This window comes from Homo sapiens, chromosome 7 (assembly GCF_000001405.40).
Source record: "Homo sapiens chromosome 7, GRCh38.p14 Primary Assembly".
Lineage (NCBI taxonomy): Eukaryota > Metazoa > Chordata > Mammalia > Primates > Hominidae > Homo > Homo sapiens.
The window spans coordinates 127,358,461-127,377,884 of NC_000007.14; the positions used below are offsets into that span (position 1 = coordinate 127,358,461).

Genomic DNA, 19,424 nt, shown 5'->3' on the forward strand with positions numbered 1-19,424 from the left:
TCAGTCCCCTTGGTGCTATTATATGTCCCTGTTTATAATCTTTCAACGGTACTCCTAATTTTGAAATATAGTTCAAACTATTTACTTGGTACATAAAAGCCTTCTTGATTTGGCCATTTCCCTGTCTCATACTCCTTCCCTTAATCTACATGTGATTTCATGTCTCTGTACCTACATGGAAACTTTTTCTGCCTATCTCTTTCAAAACTCAAGAATAAATTTAGGAATTATAAGTCTTTCCTAACTCCTCAGTGTGCCTTAATATTCCACTTCTGTGTCCTTATAATGTATTCCTCTTCCATCATACTTGAAGAGGAACTGCATTGCTTGTCTCTGTACCTGACTCAGTGCCTCGCACGAAGCAGGAGCTTACTTGTTTACTGACTGAATGAAATAAGTCAATGTAAGACAGTGAAATCTGAAGAATACTCATGGAATGCTTTAACTTTTGATACTGAACAAGCTCTGCCAAAAAAATTGTTTAATTTGCTTATTATTACTAATCTGTCCCCAATCGTATTTTTAAATAATTTCTTTCATCTTCTATTCAATAAAGTGTGCTAAGTTGAAATCTTCAACCTTTAAAAGGCAAACACCTCATTTCAAACACAACTAGTCTTACAAGTAATAAACTCTTTAATTAACATGTAATACAAAGGCTTGCATTACTCAAGAGACTAAAAGGAATTTGGGTTAATTCAACCTAGCAAATACCTGTTTGCCTGCATACCTAGGACACCATCTACACATCAGCAGCATGTAAACAAATCTAGCTGTCACCACCCCACAGCCCCCAAATCAACTACAGTCACGTCAGTAAATCTCCTGTCATGTATCATAGCCCCAGCATCCCTTCAGCTTCCTATGATCAACCCAGTAAGGTTTAGGTTATTTTTAATTCTTACCAACAAAGTTAATTTAGTTATTTAAAAGCTATAACACTATTTCCACCTCTGTATGCAACATACCAAATTAAAATTCTAGCAAAGAGGACCTGAAAGCAAAATATTTTTAAGTAAAGAAATTAAAGTTATTTTTAAAATAGAACTTATTCAAAAACAAAATTGTCAGTCAATGCCTTAAAAACAATAAACACACCTAGTCCTAACAATATCATAATGAAAATTAAGCATGTGTAATCTTCAGAGTTGAGTGTTATTTTTAAGAGGCAATAGAGTCTCTGAACAGATGACTTACTTCCTCTACTTGTCTTTTATTTGACCTCAGAGGACCATAGCTGACAGGAGGATCGGAAATGAGAAATTACTTTTAGATTCATGTTTATCATTTATCTGATGGTCATTGGAAAAAACGAAGGACAAAGTTTCATCCTCTGCGTACTGAAACTTTAATGGAAGACAATATCCAAACCAAAACTATTTTAGACTGGATCTAAAGCCCATTACACTTCTCTTATAGAATAAGCAAGAGTAGGAAACAGATACACCACACTTAAATGAAAAAAAAAAAGGAAATCTTTTAAAATGTAGATGGTTATTATTTATAGCCTTATTGTTCAAAGTGTGGATCACACACCATCAGCACGGACATCACATGGAGCTCGCTGGAACTGGAAAATCTCAGGTCACACCCAGAGCTCCTGACTCAGAATCTGCATTTTAACAAGGTCCCACATGATCATATATATGTTAAGGTTTGAGGTTCTTTGGTTTATATAGTTGAGTAGTTCTGAAAACCCATCAAATTACCCAGGTAGTTGGTACAAAATATATAGGAGCTTGGACACTACCACTAGAAATTGCAATCTGATAGATGTGGAGTCAGCCAAACATCTGCATTTTTTCAAAATTTTGTAGGCAATTTGAATTCACATCCTGATTAAATAACCAACCACTAGTGTAATCAAAGGAATTTTGGCTTTACCAAAGTACAGAACTCCTTTAAATACCAAACTCCTCTACTCTAGTACATTGAAAATAACATTTTATGTATTCTTGTTTCAGACACTCTATTTTGTAAAACAGACAAATGTTAATTTATATATTTACATATAATCCTTTATAGGAGATTCAATAATCTCTCCTACAGAAAAGTTGAGGTCAACTCAGATGTATGCCCATTCTCCAAAGAGACCCAAACTGGTTCTTTGCTGGAACAAAATACATTTTAAATCACAAGGTATCACTAGCACATAATACTGCTTGTGATTTTTTTTTTGTTAACATGGTAAGTCATCCAAGATGGAAACTTTATTTATACTAACAGCAACTCAAATACTCAATTCAATCAACAACAAAGTTAAAATAAAGAGTCAAAAACATGAGAACTAAAATATGAAAAAATACTTTATCAGTGTCACTGATATCACTACAGGCATGTAATGAAGCATGCAAATGTGTACTTGGAGTATAATTAAGTTAGGAATAAAGACATAAGTTAGTGTTGCTTCTCATCAATAATGAGCAAAGAAGACTGATCCTGGCATGATACTGGAGCAGTTTTGCAGGTCACTTAACCAACAGCCTCCATCCAAAATGCCTTCCCTCCACAAATTCTATAGGTCACAAACTGTACTCAGTATTGTGCTCAGCACTCAGGACACAAGGACGGAAACAGCCCTGCCTTCAAGCGCCTTTTTCAGTCTAGTTGGGGAGACCCAAATAAACAGGTAGTTACAAAACATGGTACTAACTGCCACAACAGGAGAGGGAGAGGGTAGGATGAGTATACTGAAGGGTACTCAGCTGCCTTGGACAGGGAAGGTTCCTAAGAGATGAGTCCTGAAAGAAGAGAGGTGGGTAATACAAGAGGACATTCCAAGCTGAGGCCTTAGAAAAAAGAGCACGAATTTGCACTTAAGAAAAATCACTCTAAGGCCAGGTGTGGTGGTGCATGCCTGTAATCCCATCGCTTTGTGAAGCCAAGTCAGGAGGATTGCTTGAGGCCAGGATTCGACACCAGCCTGAGCAACATAGAGAGACCTCATCTCTACAGAAAATAAATAATAAAAATTAGCAAGGTGTGGTGGTACAGGCTTGTATCCCAGCTACTCAGGAAGCTGAGGAAGGAGAATCACCTGAGCCCAGGAGTTCGAGGCTGCAGTCAACTAGGATTATACCACTATGTACTTCATCCTGAGTGAAAAAAAGGAAAAGAAAAATCAATCTGGCCTCAGACATGAAAAAAAGCCTAGACTTATAAAATTCTTAAGAGTAATCAAGTCATATTTTTCTTCAGATCCTAAATGTTTACTACAGTCCTTGGCATAAAGTAGTTGCTCAAGTGTAGATGGCTGAATAAATGAGTGAATGGAATTATATGTAAAGAAATTTAAAAGTCCAATAAAGATGAATTCACTAATATTTATTCATTCCATATGTTCTAAATATAATCTATTCTTGATGACTCTGGATGAATAAACTCAGCTTATGTAGAAAAGTATATCTTTTGGAAAGGTTCTCATTCAACAGAGTTTCATTATTAAGCTTTAGAACTTAAGGCAAAACTGCTGATACCAAGTAAAAAGCTTAAAGCAAAACTATGTTGAATATGATTCTCTCCTAAGATGCTGAATATATGAGAAGCTACATAGTGAAGGCCCTATAAAAGATAAGGCCTCAGGCCTCAACGTGTGCACAATTCCAACAGAGACAGAATTATTCCAAGGCCAAGCATAGAGATACAATTATTCCAAGCCCCAGTGTAAGAACCACCTTTCCCAAAAAGCTTTTTGTGGAAAATGCCCAAAAATAATATTTAGACCAGGAAAAAAATCTAGTAAGCTGTTATTTGATTGGAATTTCTTCAGAAATACAAATAGCCTCCATGAGACAAGTGTGACACTAAAACTGCTTTGATTGAATCATTGTCAAGCCTGGTCCCATCTTCTGATTAGAAAGGTTCCACAGTGCCCTCACTGAAGTGTCAGTGTGGGGTAGTAAGTTGTTCACTCTCATCCTTAGGGAAATAAATGCAAAAAGCAAAAGAGAGAAGCCCATTACTATTTTAAACTACAGATTAAGGTCTGTGAGAATGTACTAAGAGTCTAGGACCCTGTAATTTCCCTGCCTTTGCTACTTGGTATCTGTTTGCCTGCACTGCCTGTACTTTGCTATTATCCATCCACTCATTCAACAGATATGTTTTAAGTGTTACTATGTCCCGAGCATTGTGCTAGGCCCAGGGTCTACATAACTCTCCCCAGTCCCTTACATAAATCTCTCCAGTGGGAAGAAAGACATTAAACAAATCAATGCACAAATATAAACACAATTACAAACAGTATTAGATGACAGTAGGAAAGGAACATGAAACAAACAACAAAGAAGACAGACATACTTTATTTAGAAGTGACATTTGGCAGAGACCTGAAAGATAAGTAAATTAGTCAAGCGATGAACATACAGTAACAACAGATCTGTGTTTTAGGAAGATATTTCTAACAACAGCACGGAAGACAGATTAGAAAAGAGGTCAGTTAAGAGACTACTGCAATAGTGAAGGTAAGTGATAACAAAACTACTAAAAGTGGAGATGGGAAGGGGAAGCAAACGTGAAAAACATTCAGAGGCAGGATGGATAGGCATTGATCACAGATTAGGGAGAGTATAAAAGAAAGAAGTTAAGGCATTTGCCAGGATTCCAACTAGCATAGGTAACCGGAAGGGTAGGGGTTAGAACAACTGAGACATGGAGCACATAGGAAGAAATTTTAAAAGGAAGATAAGTTTGGATTACTGAGTTTTTTGTTGCATTTAAGATACTGGTGACACATTCATGTGGAGATGTCTGACATTCAACTTTGAAAACAAATGGTCTTATAATAAGGAGAACAGCCAGACTAGAAAACGGACCTGGAGTCATCTTTATGGAAGTGATAAGTGATACCTCGGGAATAGAGGAATCACTAAGAGTATATAAAAAGAAAAAAAGACATTAAGGAAACCTTAATCCATATTTGAAGACCTAGTAACAAAACAAAAGCCAGTGGCAAAAGAGAAAGTATTAAATTTCACAGAAGCATCAGTCCAATAAACATTTATCAACACCCACCATGTTCCAGGTACTATGCTAGATATGGGGGTACAAAAAAAAGACAGGACTCCTACCCTTAAGAAATGTATAGCCTAGAGAAGAGATAGAAATAGATTATTTCCAGAGAGTTATAAACGGGGCACCACAGAGACACAGAAGGGAGACACCCAGGAGGTCAGGGAATACTCACTGATGTGAGGCATTAAGATTAAATAAAATGATGCAAAGAAAGTTGGTAAGGGCAAACCAAATGAAATCAAGACAATGCTCCTGGACTTCTAAAATACTGAGTAAGATAACTGGTTTAGGAAAGAACTTGGTTGGAAGGAGCCAAAAGAGGCTAAAGTGATTTAAACTGGAAAGAATAATCTATTCTTGGAAGAAAATAAACATAGAAGATGAAAAAAGGGGACAAAGGACAAGGGGTTTTTGGCCAAAAGTGTACAAGTTTTGGGTGAACTGTTACAAAAGAGAGATTGAAGGTGCCAAGCTGTGTAAGGATATGGGAAGGTGGGTAAAAAGAACTTATTTGAAGTTTGCTGAGCTTTATGTAATTGTATATTTCTATCTCATTAGAAGATTTCACTAATATATTACAGAAGTTCATTACTTTCCAAAGGTTCGGGGCTTGTCTGCTTCTTTTGAATGCAATACTGAGACTGGCCCAAAATGACCCAGGTATACGTGACCATGAATGTGTGGAAAAGGTAAATTTGTAAGCACTAATGGTTGCAGAGGTCAAGCATGATGTAAAGAGAGAAGCCACTAGATTTCACATTTATGTGGTGACCTTCAAGTGAACTTTCAACCGAAATGTAGGGGTAGAAAAAAATTACAGGTAGTTCACAAAGTGAATGGCAGAGGCATGGCTCTAACATTGTTCATTCATTCAAAAAATATTTACTGAATGCGTACGATGCACTAGGAACTAGCTTGGGCTTCGGTGAATCAACCAGGATCAAGAGACAGATTTCTCAGAAGCTTACAGTCTGATATAGAAGGAAAACAAGGAAATAAACAATTACAATGTGACAGAATCAGTACTAAAACAGGGTAGTATGAGAGCACATGGAAGTTTGACAGACTAGATGGCAGTAACTAGGTTCAAGGTAGTATAGAAGAGAAGTTTATTTTTTGACTGAAAGGAATTTGAGCATGTTTGTAGGTTGAGGAAGAGGAGCTAGTGGACAGGGAGACAGAAGCTGGGGAGGGGTAAAGAGGAGGAGTTGTTGGAAGAAAGTCCAGTGAAGTAGACAGGCAAGGGTGGAAGTGCTGGACTTGGAACAGAAAAACAGCTCTTCCTCCAAAGAAGAGACAGAAGATAAAAAATAGTCCTGATGTGAAAAGAGCATAAACAAACATCTTCTACTTTTTGTCATGATATAAGCAAGATCTGACTTTTATAAAGGAAGCAAAGATGGGGTTGAAGGCTTAAGAACAGTGTGAAAAGTTTGAAGCAAGCAAGGATAAATGAAATGATAACCAATCAACTCCACTTCTTAAGATTATGTAAATGAGAGAAAGCACAATCAATCAACAATTGTGGGCATGCTTTGTTTGGATCTGGAAGTGGAACATGAAGTGGAAGGCAAGCTGCATTTCATGGAATTAGATTAAGTATGAATTTAAAAAGGTAAGTATTAAGAATTATCAAGAAAAATCACTAAATGCACACCCATATAGCATGCAATTATATATGGGCTAATACTAATACAGTCAATGTAGCACTACCATGAGTCTGAACCTGTCACTATTACTTAGTAGCAATGGCAGAAGCTAGAAGGTTCACACAATGAAGGCAGGCAACAGAAACCATAAGTAACCAGAAATGAAGAGGAATCTCACATGTAGAGAAGCTATACAGATTAGATCATGTAATGGGAAAAGAAGTAAAACCCAAGACAGACTGTTGACTAATGATAAGATAAGCCTGAAGATAACTGAAGTGTTGTTCCTGCCTTCCTTCTTTCTTCATCATTCTCTTAGCAACTGTTGTGTGCTAGGTACACTATGAGGCATTGGTGATACAAAGAAAAGACAATTCTTGCTTGTAATCTCAAAATACATTCCTGTACCCACAGCCTAATGTTTACCAAAACAAAACAAAACAAAACTGTCCTGAGTTTTGCTATTCAAAACTACACATTGTTCAATAAGACATTAATCATGAAGAAACAAAATAATATCATAAAAGGTCAGCAAATTCGTGAACAATTAGCAAAAGGTGCCACCAAAAATGGCACCAAACTCCAGCATAAAGGCCCATAAAATAACGAAGTGCTCTAACTTAATAAACTTCTGTGTATCTTGGCTTTATCACAGATGTTACATTTGACTTTTCATTTAACGGTTGGATTATTGCCAACAAGAAGGCAACAAACATCAAATGGCAAAGCAAGATAACCAAAAGCTAAGTGCTAGAAAGTATTTCAGAAAGAAACCGATACAAGTTCAGTGATCACTACGACAGTAATAATATTTACTGAGCTCTTCCCTGAGCCAGGTATTGTGCTAAGTACACTATACACATCATTAAGCTTTTATAAATTCCCACAATAAACCTACCTATAAGGTAGTTTCTAATATAATCATTTTACAGACAGGAAAATTGAAGCTTAGAAAGATTTGGTAACTTGCCCACACTACAGAGCTAGTAAGCAAAGAAGCCAGGACTTGAATTCAGGTCTTCTTGACTCTTAAAAAATCCGTGCTTTAACCACTGTATGACTGTTTCCCCAAAAGAATGGAATGATGCTAGGCACATGATGGATGCTCGATAGTGTCTGTCATTGAAGGAATGAATGACAGGATATAAAGCAGCCATTGCACAGTAAGCCCAAATGTGGAAAGCACAAACAGAAAAGCAGAAACAATACTTTGAGGATTCACTAAATCACCAACTCAAACTATGCAGCATAATTGTGGATGTCTGGAAAACAGCAGCAACTGATGCGGTGGCCTAATATGCTGCTACAAAAAATGTAATGGCTCTTTCTGAGGGAAAACTTCAGGCTGTCTATGAATCTACAAACCCAAAGAAGGAAATGTCATCAGGCAGTTTAGAAAAGGAAATGCAGATACTGATCAAAACACTATTTTCCACATTTTCTCAGTAGGGAAAGGATTGCTGATGCTGCATTGACCTAACAGTCAAGATCACAACTTGCCTTTCATTCTGTCACCTTTCAAAAGAAAGAAAAACATGTATACTGGAAAGCTCATCACATTTTAGGACTATGGTCTTTTAAGAGATTCCCACCAAAAGATTCCTTCTATGGGGCCCAGGGCCATGTTTTATGCCACTGACTCTGCCACTATGATCACAAATGACAGGACCAAGAGAGAGCAACTGTCCCAAGAGCAGCCAATCTACAGACTGGCCAGCAACCTATGAAGGGGACTGACATGAGAGATTAGCCCAACAGGCAATGAATCTAACTGGACTAATTAGATTTCCTCTTACAGAAGATTGAACTCAAGCTGTACAGAAGGGGAAAGTAGCGGAAGGACACAGAGCAGAGGGTGGAACGAGGCAGTTAAGACCATATTGAGAAGATACAGAGTGAGGTAATTTGTTTAAAACAAAATAAAGCAGAGTCTGAAAAGGGCTAATAGCAGCAGAGAAGCAATACTTCTGCTGCTCAGAGGGCAACATCCAGACACTAGAGTTGCACTGATTTTTTTTTCTCATTTTGTAACACCTACCTAGTTGAAATCTGAATGGTGAAGCTGAGTTGTACAATTACTCTTGGAATCCTATAAGGCCTGATCACTTATATCTCCCATATTTCCCCAAATAAAGTCTTCTAATAAAACTCTCCTTAGAAGCTACCAAGTAAAATTCTGTGCTTGCAACTCAAAAAAAGAGCATAACATAACATTTGTATCTATGGGTACATATGCATTTACACGCCAATTAGATGACTAGTGTAAGTTTCTTACCAGCTATGTGAACCTAAGTAAATCACTGAACTTCTCTAAGTTTCTATTTTCTGTTCCATAAAACAGGGATAATGAAAGAATAGGTTTTACTTCATAGAGTTGTTGGTAGGATTAGGGACATTATGCATGAAAAGATTTAGCAGAGTGCTTGGCATATAACAAGCATGCCATAAATGTTCATTATTATTAGCTATTACTAAGAATTATCTTTCTTTTTTATAAACACAACACTGGTGAAATTTCCTAAAAACAAGTGAAATCCATCAATATTGAGAAGATAAAATGTTAAGACTTGAAGTCTCAAAATACATGGTGTACAATTTAGAGATGGAAAAGGCTTACTTGCCTTAATACCATTATCAAATATTTATTTGAAGTGTCTTGGTATACATGAAAATGTGCTAGGCACCGTACAAAATTATCAAGAGAGTCCCTGACATCAAAAATACACAATCAAGCAAATTAATTCTGCTGAGTGGACGCAAACACCAAAACCTCCAACTTTGGGCATTTTCTCAAACAGATGCACCTATGGTATGCTAGGTCCCTTTTTGTTTGTGGTGTTGTAGTGGTGAAAATATGTAGAGGAAGAGGCTTGAAAATAATAAGCCTCCCAAATTTGGTGTGGAGCAATGAAGATTTAGGAGGAAATGAGCTGCATTTTCCATACTCTTACCCTTCCAAAAAACACTTTAGCTATCTTGGTACTAATGATTTCTATTAAACTAGAAGAAGAAAAGGCAAGGTAGAAGCTGGAAGCTCAGAGGAATAGGGTATAGAAACAATTTAGGAGAAGAGAAATGAATTTGGAAAGTTAGAAAAGCCAAAATAATTGTAGGTTTTAAGTGAGACATGTTTTTAATCTGCATTCTACCATGTGTTTAATGCCTCAAAAACCACAGAACAGCTATTCCTGAAATTGCTGATCCTTATTCCTTTTCAATACCAAGGATCCCTTTAGCTCTTAAAGAGAGACGACAGGATAGCACAGAGTACAGAAGGATTTGTCTAACAGCACAGCCAATATCCTGCTGCACATATCTTAGAGCTTGGCTTCAGATCAACTGAAAGCCATGGCTAAATCATAATCCTGATAATCTATGGATTCCATTAGAAAAATAACTTCTCCAACTCCAAACTAAGGATCTAGAATACTTCAATGGGTCACTGCAGGAAACCTGGAAACATAATTTCCAAAATTTTTGAAGCATCTCTACCTCATTTTCAGAAGTCATGCTATTTGAAGAGATCTTTTGCAACTTCACAACAGGGAATGATAATCACTTCTACCTATCTCCACATGTATTTACCATAACACCTACAGGGAAACTCCTCTTTCTATACCCACAGCCTCATGCCATAGCAAAATCATTAACTCCCCACTACTGCATCCATAGGCTCTTTAATGCAAACTGAGCAGAACAGACTATTTATTGACCATAAAGTAATATAATAAATATATTCCTAAAAAATCTGAAGGTACATTTCAACAACTAAAGCAACCTGTGTCAACCAAAAACTTAATTCATATATACAAAACTAGACAAAAAACTAAAACCTAAGAATGGGTAATGTGTACACTCTTCAAAGGTTTTCTTCTTAAAGAGTAAAGGGGAGGGGGAGGGAATGGAGACATAAACCAAAAAAAAAAAGAAATGGTTGTTGTGTATTCAAGGCATGTCTAATGAACACCTGCCCAATGTCAGCTATACTTCAGCTCTCATTTGCACTATTCAAACTTATAAAGTTGAAGAGCAACCTACGCCTGTTGTTTCTCCTCTCCCACCACACTTAGGAATGGAAGGCATCTTTAGGAAGGAAGGTAAGTTGAATTCCATAGGAAAACTCTTAATTGATCAAATAGCAGCAAAGGTAGATATAATTTATAGCCAGATAGGTCTTATATAAAATAAGCAGTTTCTGATGGCTCTTTGTGTGCTGTAATCCTCACTATAACAATACAAAATCACCTAAATATGTGTTTATGTAGCCTACATGCAGAAAAGCTTCTGGCACAAACTTCTTAGGCCTCTTCTCAAGAGCCTTAAGCCTGAGCCCCTGAAGTGACAGAGCTCAAGTCAAATCAGGAAGGATGAAGACCAGAAAGGAATAAGAAGAACAATACTTTGTGGTCACTTGTTTGTTCTACCTTTCTAAACTGGTCCTAGTTCAGGTTCTCTTATATATGCCATTATCCATTAATTCAGCTATTATGATAAAATGTTTCCAGTCTGTCTAATGTAGGCAAGTACTGACACAGTGCTATTTTTCCTACATGACCCAGATGAAATCTTTTGACAGCCCTGGAACTCTCATTTATTTCCTCCTCTAGATTCCTATTCTGTGGCCCCAGAATTACTATGGAGGAGACACACTGTGAATGGTCCTGTAGAAATAGGTGGGTAGAGTAAGAGAATTCCAGCAATGGGCTCCCCTCCTCCAATATCAATTTTTCTTTCTTCTCTATAGTATTTAACAAGCAAGCAGAGAGGGAAAGGCTGGCATACAAATGAGAGGATGCTGCAAAGAGCAACCCCTAGCTTTTTAGGAATCCTCATATCTTTTCAGGGGTTATCAGCATTTATCTGGAAAATATCTTTGGAATATGTCTTGTGTGTAGGAATGCATAAAAGATAACACCTTGCAAAAGTCAAACATATAGGTTTAATAATGTGCAACTAATGAAGATGGCTTATAAATGAAATACCACCTACACATTTAGTTCCCTAAATATATTATACTATTAGTTATTAAAGTTAGATCTATAAGTACAAATTTTCAATATGTGGGAAAGTAAATCTGTTTTTAAATTAAAGAGAAATTATTACTCTATTTCTTAGAAATAAAACTATCAGAATATAATTCAAGTGTAGCTGCTCATAGTCACTGAATAAGTTTAAATTTGATAATAAAACATTTAAGTTTCAACCAATGCACCTTTGCTGAAGCACATTTAGCTGAAATAACTTCGATTCTGGTTTATTTCCATCACATATAGTACATTTTTCCAACAAGAGCATGTACATTCAATATAGAACATTTCCAGCAATAGTTACAGTCTTTCTAGTTTCCTTTCACAGTATATTTTAGTGCAAAGCACTGGGAAGGTAAATGTTTTTCTAGCTATAGAATCATTTTATTAAGACCTTGTGGATCTTTAACATTTTAAAATTTTATACAAAAAGTATATAGATGGACAGGGTCCCTCCTAAGTACAGGTGTGAACCTATATAAAAACATGGTATATTTTCTGCTGTACCTTTTATAATTATAATTTGACACAAATAACTAAAAAATAAAATATTCCCTAAAAGTACAAAATATTGATACACAAAAACCTGCCCAAAATTTCATAAAGATAGATGTACTTCTGTTTTTCCTAAAATCTTGATTACAAAAATGGACAAGAATTCATCATTTTCTAAATTTTACAGTAGGAATCAAATATTATCTAAAGTGGTCCTTTAAGATTTTTCTTGGGAGAAAAAAAAATCAGGGCTTACACCCGCATCTTCCTTTTGTAGCAATATTTAAGGAAATAAACTAGTATCATAAGAAGTGGTTGTGCATGGATTGTCTGCATCCATAAAATATCAGTAAGCTATTTATTACCTTCATATTAACATTAGTAAATGTGTGGTCTTTAAAAAAATAGGAACTGAAAAATAAGGTTGCATCTATCATTAAAGTGCTTTGTATAAAATTTAAAGAAAAATAGGGGAATGTTTAATTTTCATAAAAACCTACATTTACAAGTGAAAAATGTAATGATCCATGCATGAAAATGAACTGCAGCTTTCCTGTAGTATATATTTTAGGATGAAACTTTCAAACACTGAAGTGCTGGAGAACAAGCTAGAAATAAATGGATGTAAAAATAATTACAAATATTTAGTAAGCTAAATATTTATAATGTGTTGATACTATTTTGTCTTTTGTTCCTAACATACACTCACTAGAAAATCATATATCTATACAATTCAGATGAAAATGTTGCCAAATAAAGAGAAACAAAACTAAAATCACTAAGATATAAAGTCTTTGTCAATTAAAAATTGATATTTTCTTCAGGTTGTTGATCACTTAATCAACAAATTGTTTAGAAAACAAAATTTGTAACATTTTTGTAGAAACTGTCGACCAAATGCACAAGGTCAAGGGTGGATAGCTGATGGACTGTGATGACAACATGTAATATCACAGCTACTTGAAAGTGCTGGAATAGGCAGTGCCTTAGAAACAAGTGGTTAGATGGTTATTTTAGTCAGAAAACAGCAGTTATAGTTGAATATTTAGAAAAATGTTTTTCTTTTTTTCCTCATAGTACCATTTGAAGATGTTTAGTGGTTCTAACACCAATTTAAAGTCTTTCCACAAAAATGAACTCCAAACCTTTTCGTACATCACTTGAAGTTATCTGAGGAGAAATGGGAATAAATGAACACTTTTGAGTTTACTAATAAAACCTAGTTTTTAAAACTATGCAACAGTAAATTACTTCTAAAAGATGGTTTCATCTCAAGTTTTCCACACAAATAAAAAAACGTGTGATAATCAAACCACAACATTTAACCCTCACAGCACTCAAACTAATATTTTGCTTTAGAACCTGAATCTGAAACTAATTTAATACTCATTAAATACATTAAATGCCTTAATACAGGGGACACAGGTATAGAAGGTGAACTTTTAAAATATATATAGACTTGCGAAAAGTATAGGGAGTCTACTCATTTTATGTTGCATTTTTTAAAAATCTACATTTGTTCCAAAACCTTCTTTAACAAGTAGTATTTTTTGGCCAGGCACGGTGGCTCATGCCTGTAACCCCAGCACTTTGGGAGGCCGAGGTGGGCGGATCACCTGAGGTCCAGGAGTTTTGAGACCAGCCTGACCAACATGATGAAACCCCATCTCTACTAAAAATACAAAATTAGCCGGGTGTGGTGGCTTATGCCTGTAATCCCAGCTACTTGGGAGGCTGAGGCAGGAGAATTGCTTGAACCCAGGAGGCGGAAGGTGTAGTGAGCCGAGATTGCACCACTGCACTCCAGCCTGGGCAACAAGAGCGAAACTCCGTCTCAAAAAAAAAAAAAAAAAAGTAGTATTTTTCTTTCTTCCAAATATGAATTTTACTTTTCTTACGACACACAACCACAAAAAACAAATCCCTAGTTAATAATATTAACTATGTTAAAATGATCACCAAAAAGTTTATTAAAAAGAGAGGGGAAGCATTTGGGACCTAAATAAGCATTGTTTCCATAGATCAAAACTAAAAAACAGTAACTAACACACACTCCCAAGGAGAAGGAAAAAAAATCCAAACTTCTATTTACCACCAACTTTCCCCCTTTGCCTGGAAGCACTATGTTAAAAGTAAATGATAAATGCTAATCATTTTTAATTCAATTCGGGGATTTTTTTTTCTGAGTGCAGCATTTTATTTAGCCGTCACAGATTAATTTTTACAATAATTACAGTGCCTCAAAAGATTTTTTCCTATAGTTATCGCCTTCACAAGTTCATTCTAATATATTTAACTTTCCTACAATTCATTAATTAGTAGACTAAGTCACTGAATCAAATTAAACCTGTGCAAAGTTAGTTAAACAGAAGACTTCTATTGTAAACATAAGCCAATATAAATGTATATATTTTACAACATTAAAAGGAAAGCACTGACCCTGTGCCATCTACCTACAACTACATTGCATTGTCCTGTGGAAGATAAGTTCTGAAGTTAACTTTTGTTCCCAAGCCACTGGAATAAAGGTCACTGAAGAGGTAAATGCAATATGCACATTACTCTTGCAGTTCCCATTGCCATGAGATATATGGAAGCAAACGTGTTAAAATGGAACCAGCTATAAATTATGGTCAAATGATTTTTTTTTTAGTTCGATGGGGGGAAAAAAGCAAAACTCTGTTAACTGTTCCTCACCAGACAAGAGCCTTAGATCTTGTACTTCGGCCTTTGGTTTTGTTTCCTTCAGGTGAATTGGAAGCATTTGCCTTATGAGTTTTCTTATGATGTTCAAGGTAAGTCTTTTTGGCAAATGCCTTTCCACATTTATTGCATCTGTGAAGAGAAAAGTTTTTTGTGACTTTTACTTCAATACCGACGTCAGCTACTTCATACTTTTTACTAGGAGAGTTAGAAGTGCCATCATGTTTTGAATCACTATGTTTTGCTTCATCCCTCGAAGGGCCTCTTTTTGCCACTTTATTTAGAACAAAATCAATAGGCTTTTTTATAGCTCTGATCTCTAAACTGGCTGTTATTTTCCCAAGATAACGAGATGACTTTTTATGAACCACAGTTATATGTCGTATCACATCACGTTTCCGACGAGTTTCATAAGTGCAAAGAGGACACTTGTAGAATTTAACATAAATGTTATTTCCATCTGTGTGCAACTCGATGTGTTTAGTCAAGTTCTGTTTGGAAGTAAACTGACGTTTACAAAGTTTACAGTAAAGTTGCTTAAAGTCAAAGCCAGCTGAAAGTTTTGGTTTTCTGGTTTTTTGCTGGCCACCTGCAGCCGACGGACTAGTTGATTTAGGGCTTTCAGAGTCTTGTTTAACTTTATTTTTCTGTGCTGCCGGTGTGTTCTTTTTTTCATTTGAATGATTTGTTCCCTTTAATTCATTCTGTGGAGAATGGGTAATGGAAGGGGGTGAAGATTCTACAGAATCTGCTGGTTCAACTTTAACTTTTATTTCTGAACTGTTGGCAGTATTATTAGGGCCTTTTTCTCTTTTAGAGTTTGTTCCAGAAAGAGTTATCTTGTGGACAATTTGCATATGTCTTTTAAGCATTATTTGTGAACTATATTTCCTCTTGCAAAGGAGGCATTTGCATGCAGTTAAATTGTATTCAGCCTTTGAAGAAGACTTTTGTTTTCGAGTCTTAAAAGATTTTTTAGGAGAAATAGAATCCAGGAACAAAGGTTGCCCAGGCTTTGTTGCTATATCAGGAGTAATTGAATCCCTCCTTAGTCCTCTATGAACTTCATCAAAATGCCTCCTTACATTCGCTTTTGTAGCAAATGATTTACAACATACTGGACAACTCCTACTTAATGGAACTAGAACATTCTTACTGCGTCCTTTAGAGGATTGGTTTGGATTCTTTCGTGTTTCAATGTACTTTTTTAGTTCTTCCATCTTTTTCTTGTGTACTTTTCGAATGTGACGGCGAACACCTCGTCTAGAATTGAATTCTTTTCTACAAAGACAACATATCAACTGGTGACCAAAATCAGAATTGTCAGAAGTTTCCAAGTCAGCCTGCGACTCCTGAGGTTGTTCATCAGATGTAGGTGCAACTTCATCTGTAACAATCTCAACAGGAGGGGGCTCTACAGTTTCCACCTCTGTATCTGTAACCGGTACTGTTTTTGACTGTTCAGTGCTAGTTTCCTGTATCTGAACTTCGGTTTGTTCAGGAGTACTGCTTGACTCTGTGACTTCAATAGGATTATCAGTCCTCGAAATATATTGAAATACTGCATTTTGATTAGTTTCTATGGGTTCTAGCTTAATAATATATTCTCGTTTGTCCACACTTGGATATATGGCTTCTAGGAGATCATTTATGGCTTGGCTTTGTTTATCATTTACATCAGGAAGGTCTGTTAAGGAAAAAACAACATTTTAATCTGAAGTAATTAGCCTGCTGTAGCCCTCTAATATTTTAAGATATATTATGAACCTCTATCTCAGAATATATCATATTACCAGTTTATTTTTATAAGAGCATTATCTACTTTTCAGTATTCTACAAAGATAAAGACTACTATTAAACTAAAATTTCCTTTAAATTCTCATCATGATACACAAAAATGTTAAGGAACATATATAATCTGAAGGGCTACTTTTGCTTCAAATGCCCTTAATATAAAATATATAAGCACTTAGGTGTCCTAAATAATAAAAATGATATTTCATATTTTTAGTCTGAATGTTTTAGACTAGCAAAGGCAACTCAAATTCTCGTAACTCAATTGATAAAACAGCATGAAAAATGTTACTACATAAATAAAAATGGCATTTTTTAGAAAACATAACAGCATTCCCATTAACTTAATCCATAATAGTCTAATCTAATCTAGTCTATTTGAGCATCTTATGAAAATGAAAGATTTGTAAGCAAATATGTAAACATAAATGGGATGATGTGTAGAAGTATTTGCTAAACTCAGTCCTATTACATGTCTTCTTAACATGACACAATTTTACTAAAACAAATAATTAAAAACTATACAGATTTATTTAAAAACCATAGGTAGTTTTATTTCCTTGTACAATAATTACACCCTTTACAGGCAATCAACTATCCTATTGTAACAGAGTTGTCTAACACTGGTTAGGTTTCCATGTATTACTACTCTAAAATCTAGCTACAAATTTAGTACCAAATCTGGTATCTATACCAATCAGGAAGTGATTCATTATAGCTCTTCTAGTCTAGTCATCTGTCTTTTAAGATGAATAAAGTAGTGTCTATAAGAAAAATACTTTCACAAAAGTATTTCTAGAATGAGTATTGCGAAGACAAGTACACAGTAATCTAGCAAATCCATTTACCATTTCACTCTATAAGTTAACTCTACAACTAAAAAATAAATAACTACCAAAAGACAAACTAATTTTCTACTAGTATTTTAATTAAAAGTTTAGATTTGAAATGAATCTCTAGACTGCTTTTTAATTTATATCTCAATGAGAGAATAGTAAGATCAAAATAGTAGTAGGAAATATTTCCAGGTAAATATAAAATTTGTATTTAATCAATGCTGTATAATATAACTTTAAGCCAGCTTCATTATAATTAAAGCCATACTTATTTGGAGATTGCATTTCATACCAATCCCAAAAAGGTTAAGTTGAAAAATGCACAGAATCCACAATGCATCTACGCTTTCAGACTGACAAAGTAAGTTCTATATTTTGTAAGTCAACAAAGAGTTAAATCCATAAACAAGAAAGAATAAGGTAGCCCAATATTGAATTTTTTTAAATTTACATTAATTCTTTAAAGAAAGAAAATACCATTAGATACACTGCCAGCCTCATCACACAGAGACAATATGCTGCATTCAAAACAAACATTCTGTTCCAGAAAGACTTTATATTAGTCTGCTATCTGCCTTTATCACATAAAGTTATACTGGATCTCAAGTTAGCCTGTAACATAATGTAATTTCTGAGAAAATGACTTATCTAAATTTTTCTGAAAACAAAACTGATCTTCAAATCAAGACCTAGAAAATACTAGAAAGATTAATAAAGACTTTTTAATGCTCTCCACCATTCCCAAGAAATGAACAAATTTACCTCATTCTTTGCTCTTTATTCCCAACCTTCTCATTTACTTAAGGGGAATCTAAATAAGTGATCAATCACATCTGGTTGCAAGTTGTTAAAGAATAAAGAAGTAAAAAGTAATATAAACTAGAAAATCCATTTATGGCCCATATAAACATTCTAAAACAATATCCAATATTTTAATATAAATAAATATCCTCTTAAATCTAACCTCTTATATGTCATCTTTAGGAAAACCCAAGTGGAAAGCATTGATATGAAAGTACCTAAGAAACTGAATGTAACATTGAGTCAAGTATTTAATTTTATTCTCCATCTCCATCTAAAAATTATCTGTAACTAGACATCATTATCAAATTATCAGTAACTAGATACAATTTTAATGCAAATGTATACTTGCAGTATAAGAATACTTAGCTGTAAAATGCATAACTGAGTATATGAATAAAACTTACTGTCATCCATCTGGAGACTTGGTGGGCAGTAGAATTTTTTATGGGTAATTAAATTTGGTAATCCTCTGAAGAGACTGCGGCATAACTTACATTCAAAAATAGTGTCCACATCTTTTAATAAAATATGCTTAAGTTGTTTAGTTCCTGAGAGAAAAAAGAAAAGAAAAACTTAACACAAAAGGTAACTTTAACATGCACTTTTAAACTGGACAACCACTGTTGACAGACCAAAAGTGCAGTTACTCTTTGAAAACAAAATATAGGCATTGCCAATTTCCACCACAGTATATTTAGAACTAAGTTATAGACTAAATTCTAAGCAAAACCCTACTATCATTTGGAAATCAGGAGAACTAAAATTGATGCTGTGTTCCCACTTCAGCAGCCAATCAATTCTTGATATATCCCAAGGCAGTGGTTCCGACATGAGGTTAATCATTACAATGAGCTGGGAATAAAGATGTACACAGCCCTCCCCTAGAGGTTCAGATTTAATAGATTTGGAGTAGGACAGAAAAATTAAATGTTCCCCCATTATTCCCTGGCAAACTTTTTGGCTGGTTCTTTGAAGCTCTTTTCTGTATTAGGAAGTAAGCAAGGAGTTTTTCAATACATTTTCCCCTTATTCCTTAAAGAAGGTCAAAACTGTATTACAGGATTGCCTGTGATTTTTCTCTTTAAATTCAGCTCAAATTACTT

The 19,424-nt window shown here is 35.1% G+C and overlaps 1 protein-coding gene across 38 annotated transcripts in view; it reads right to left on the reverse strand.

Annotated features, from left to right (window-relative positions):
• The window catches only part of ZNF800 (zinc finger protein 800), a 49,850-nt gene that overhangs the window by 15,602 nt on the left and 14,824 nt on the right, over nucleotides 1-19,424 (reverse strand). For 12 of the 38 annotated variants that reach the window (NM_001438599.1, NM_001438596.1, NM_001438600.1 and 9 more), the window contains 3 exons: nucleotides 18,726-18,869; nucleotides 14,882-16,574; nucleotides 11,583-13,354 (listed from right to left, as the gene is read on the reverse strand). In NM_001438599.1, coding sequence (NP_001425528.1) covers nucleotide 13,354; nucleotides 14,882-16,574; nucleotides 18,726-18,869 — 1,838 coding nt within the window. In that variant the 3' untranslated portion in view covers nucleotides 11,583-13,353. Of the gene's footprint in view, nucleotides 1-1,329; nucleotides 16,575-18,725; nucleotides 18,870-19,424 lie in introns of those variants that run through there. The other 26 variants (XM_011515859.4, XM_047419942.1, XM_006715868.5 and 23 more) reach the window with 8 other exon arrangements.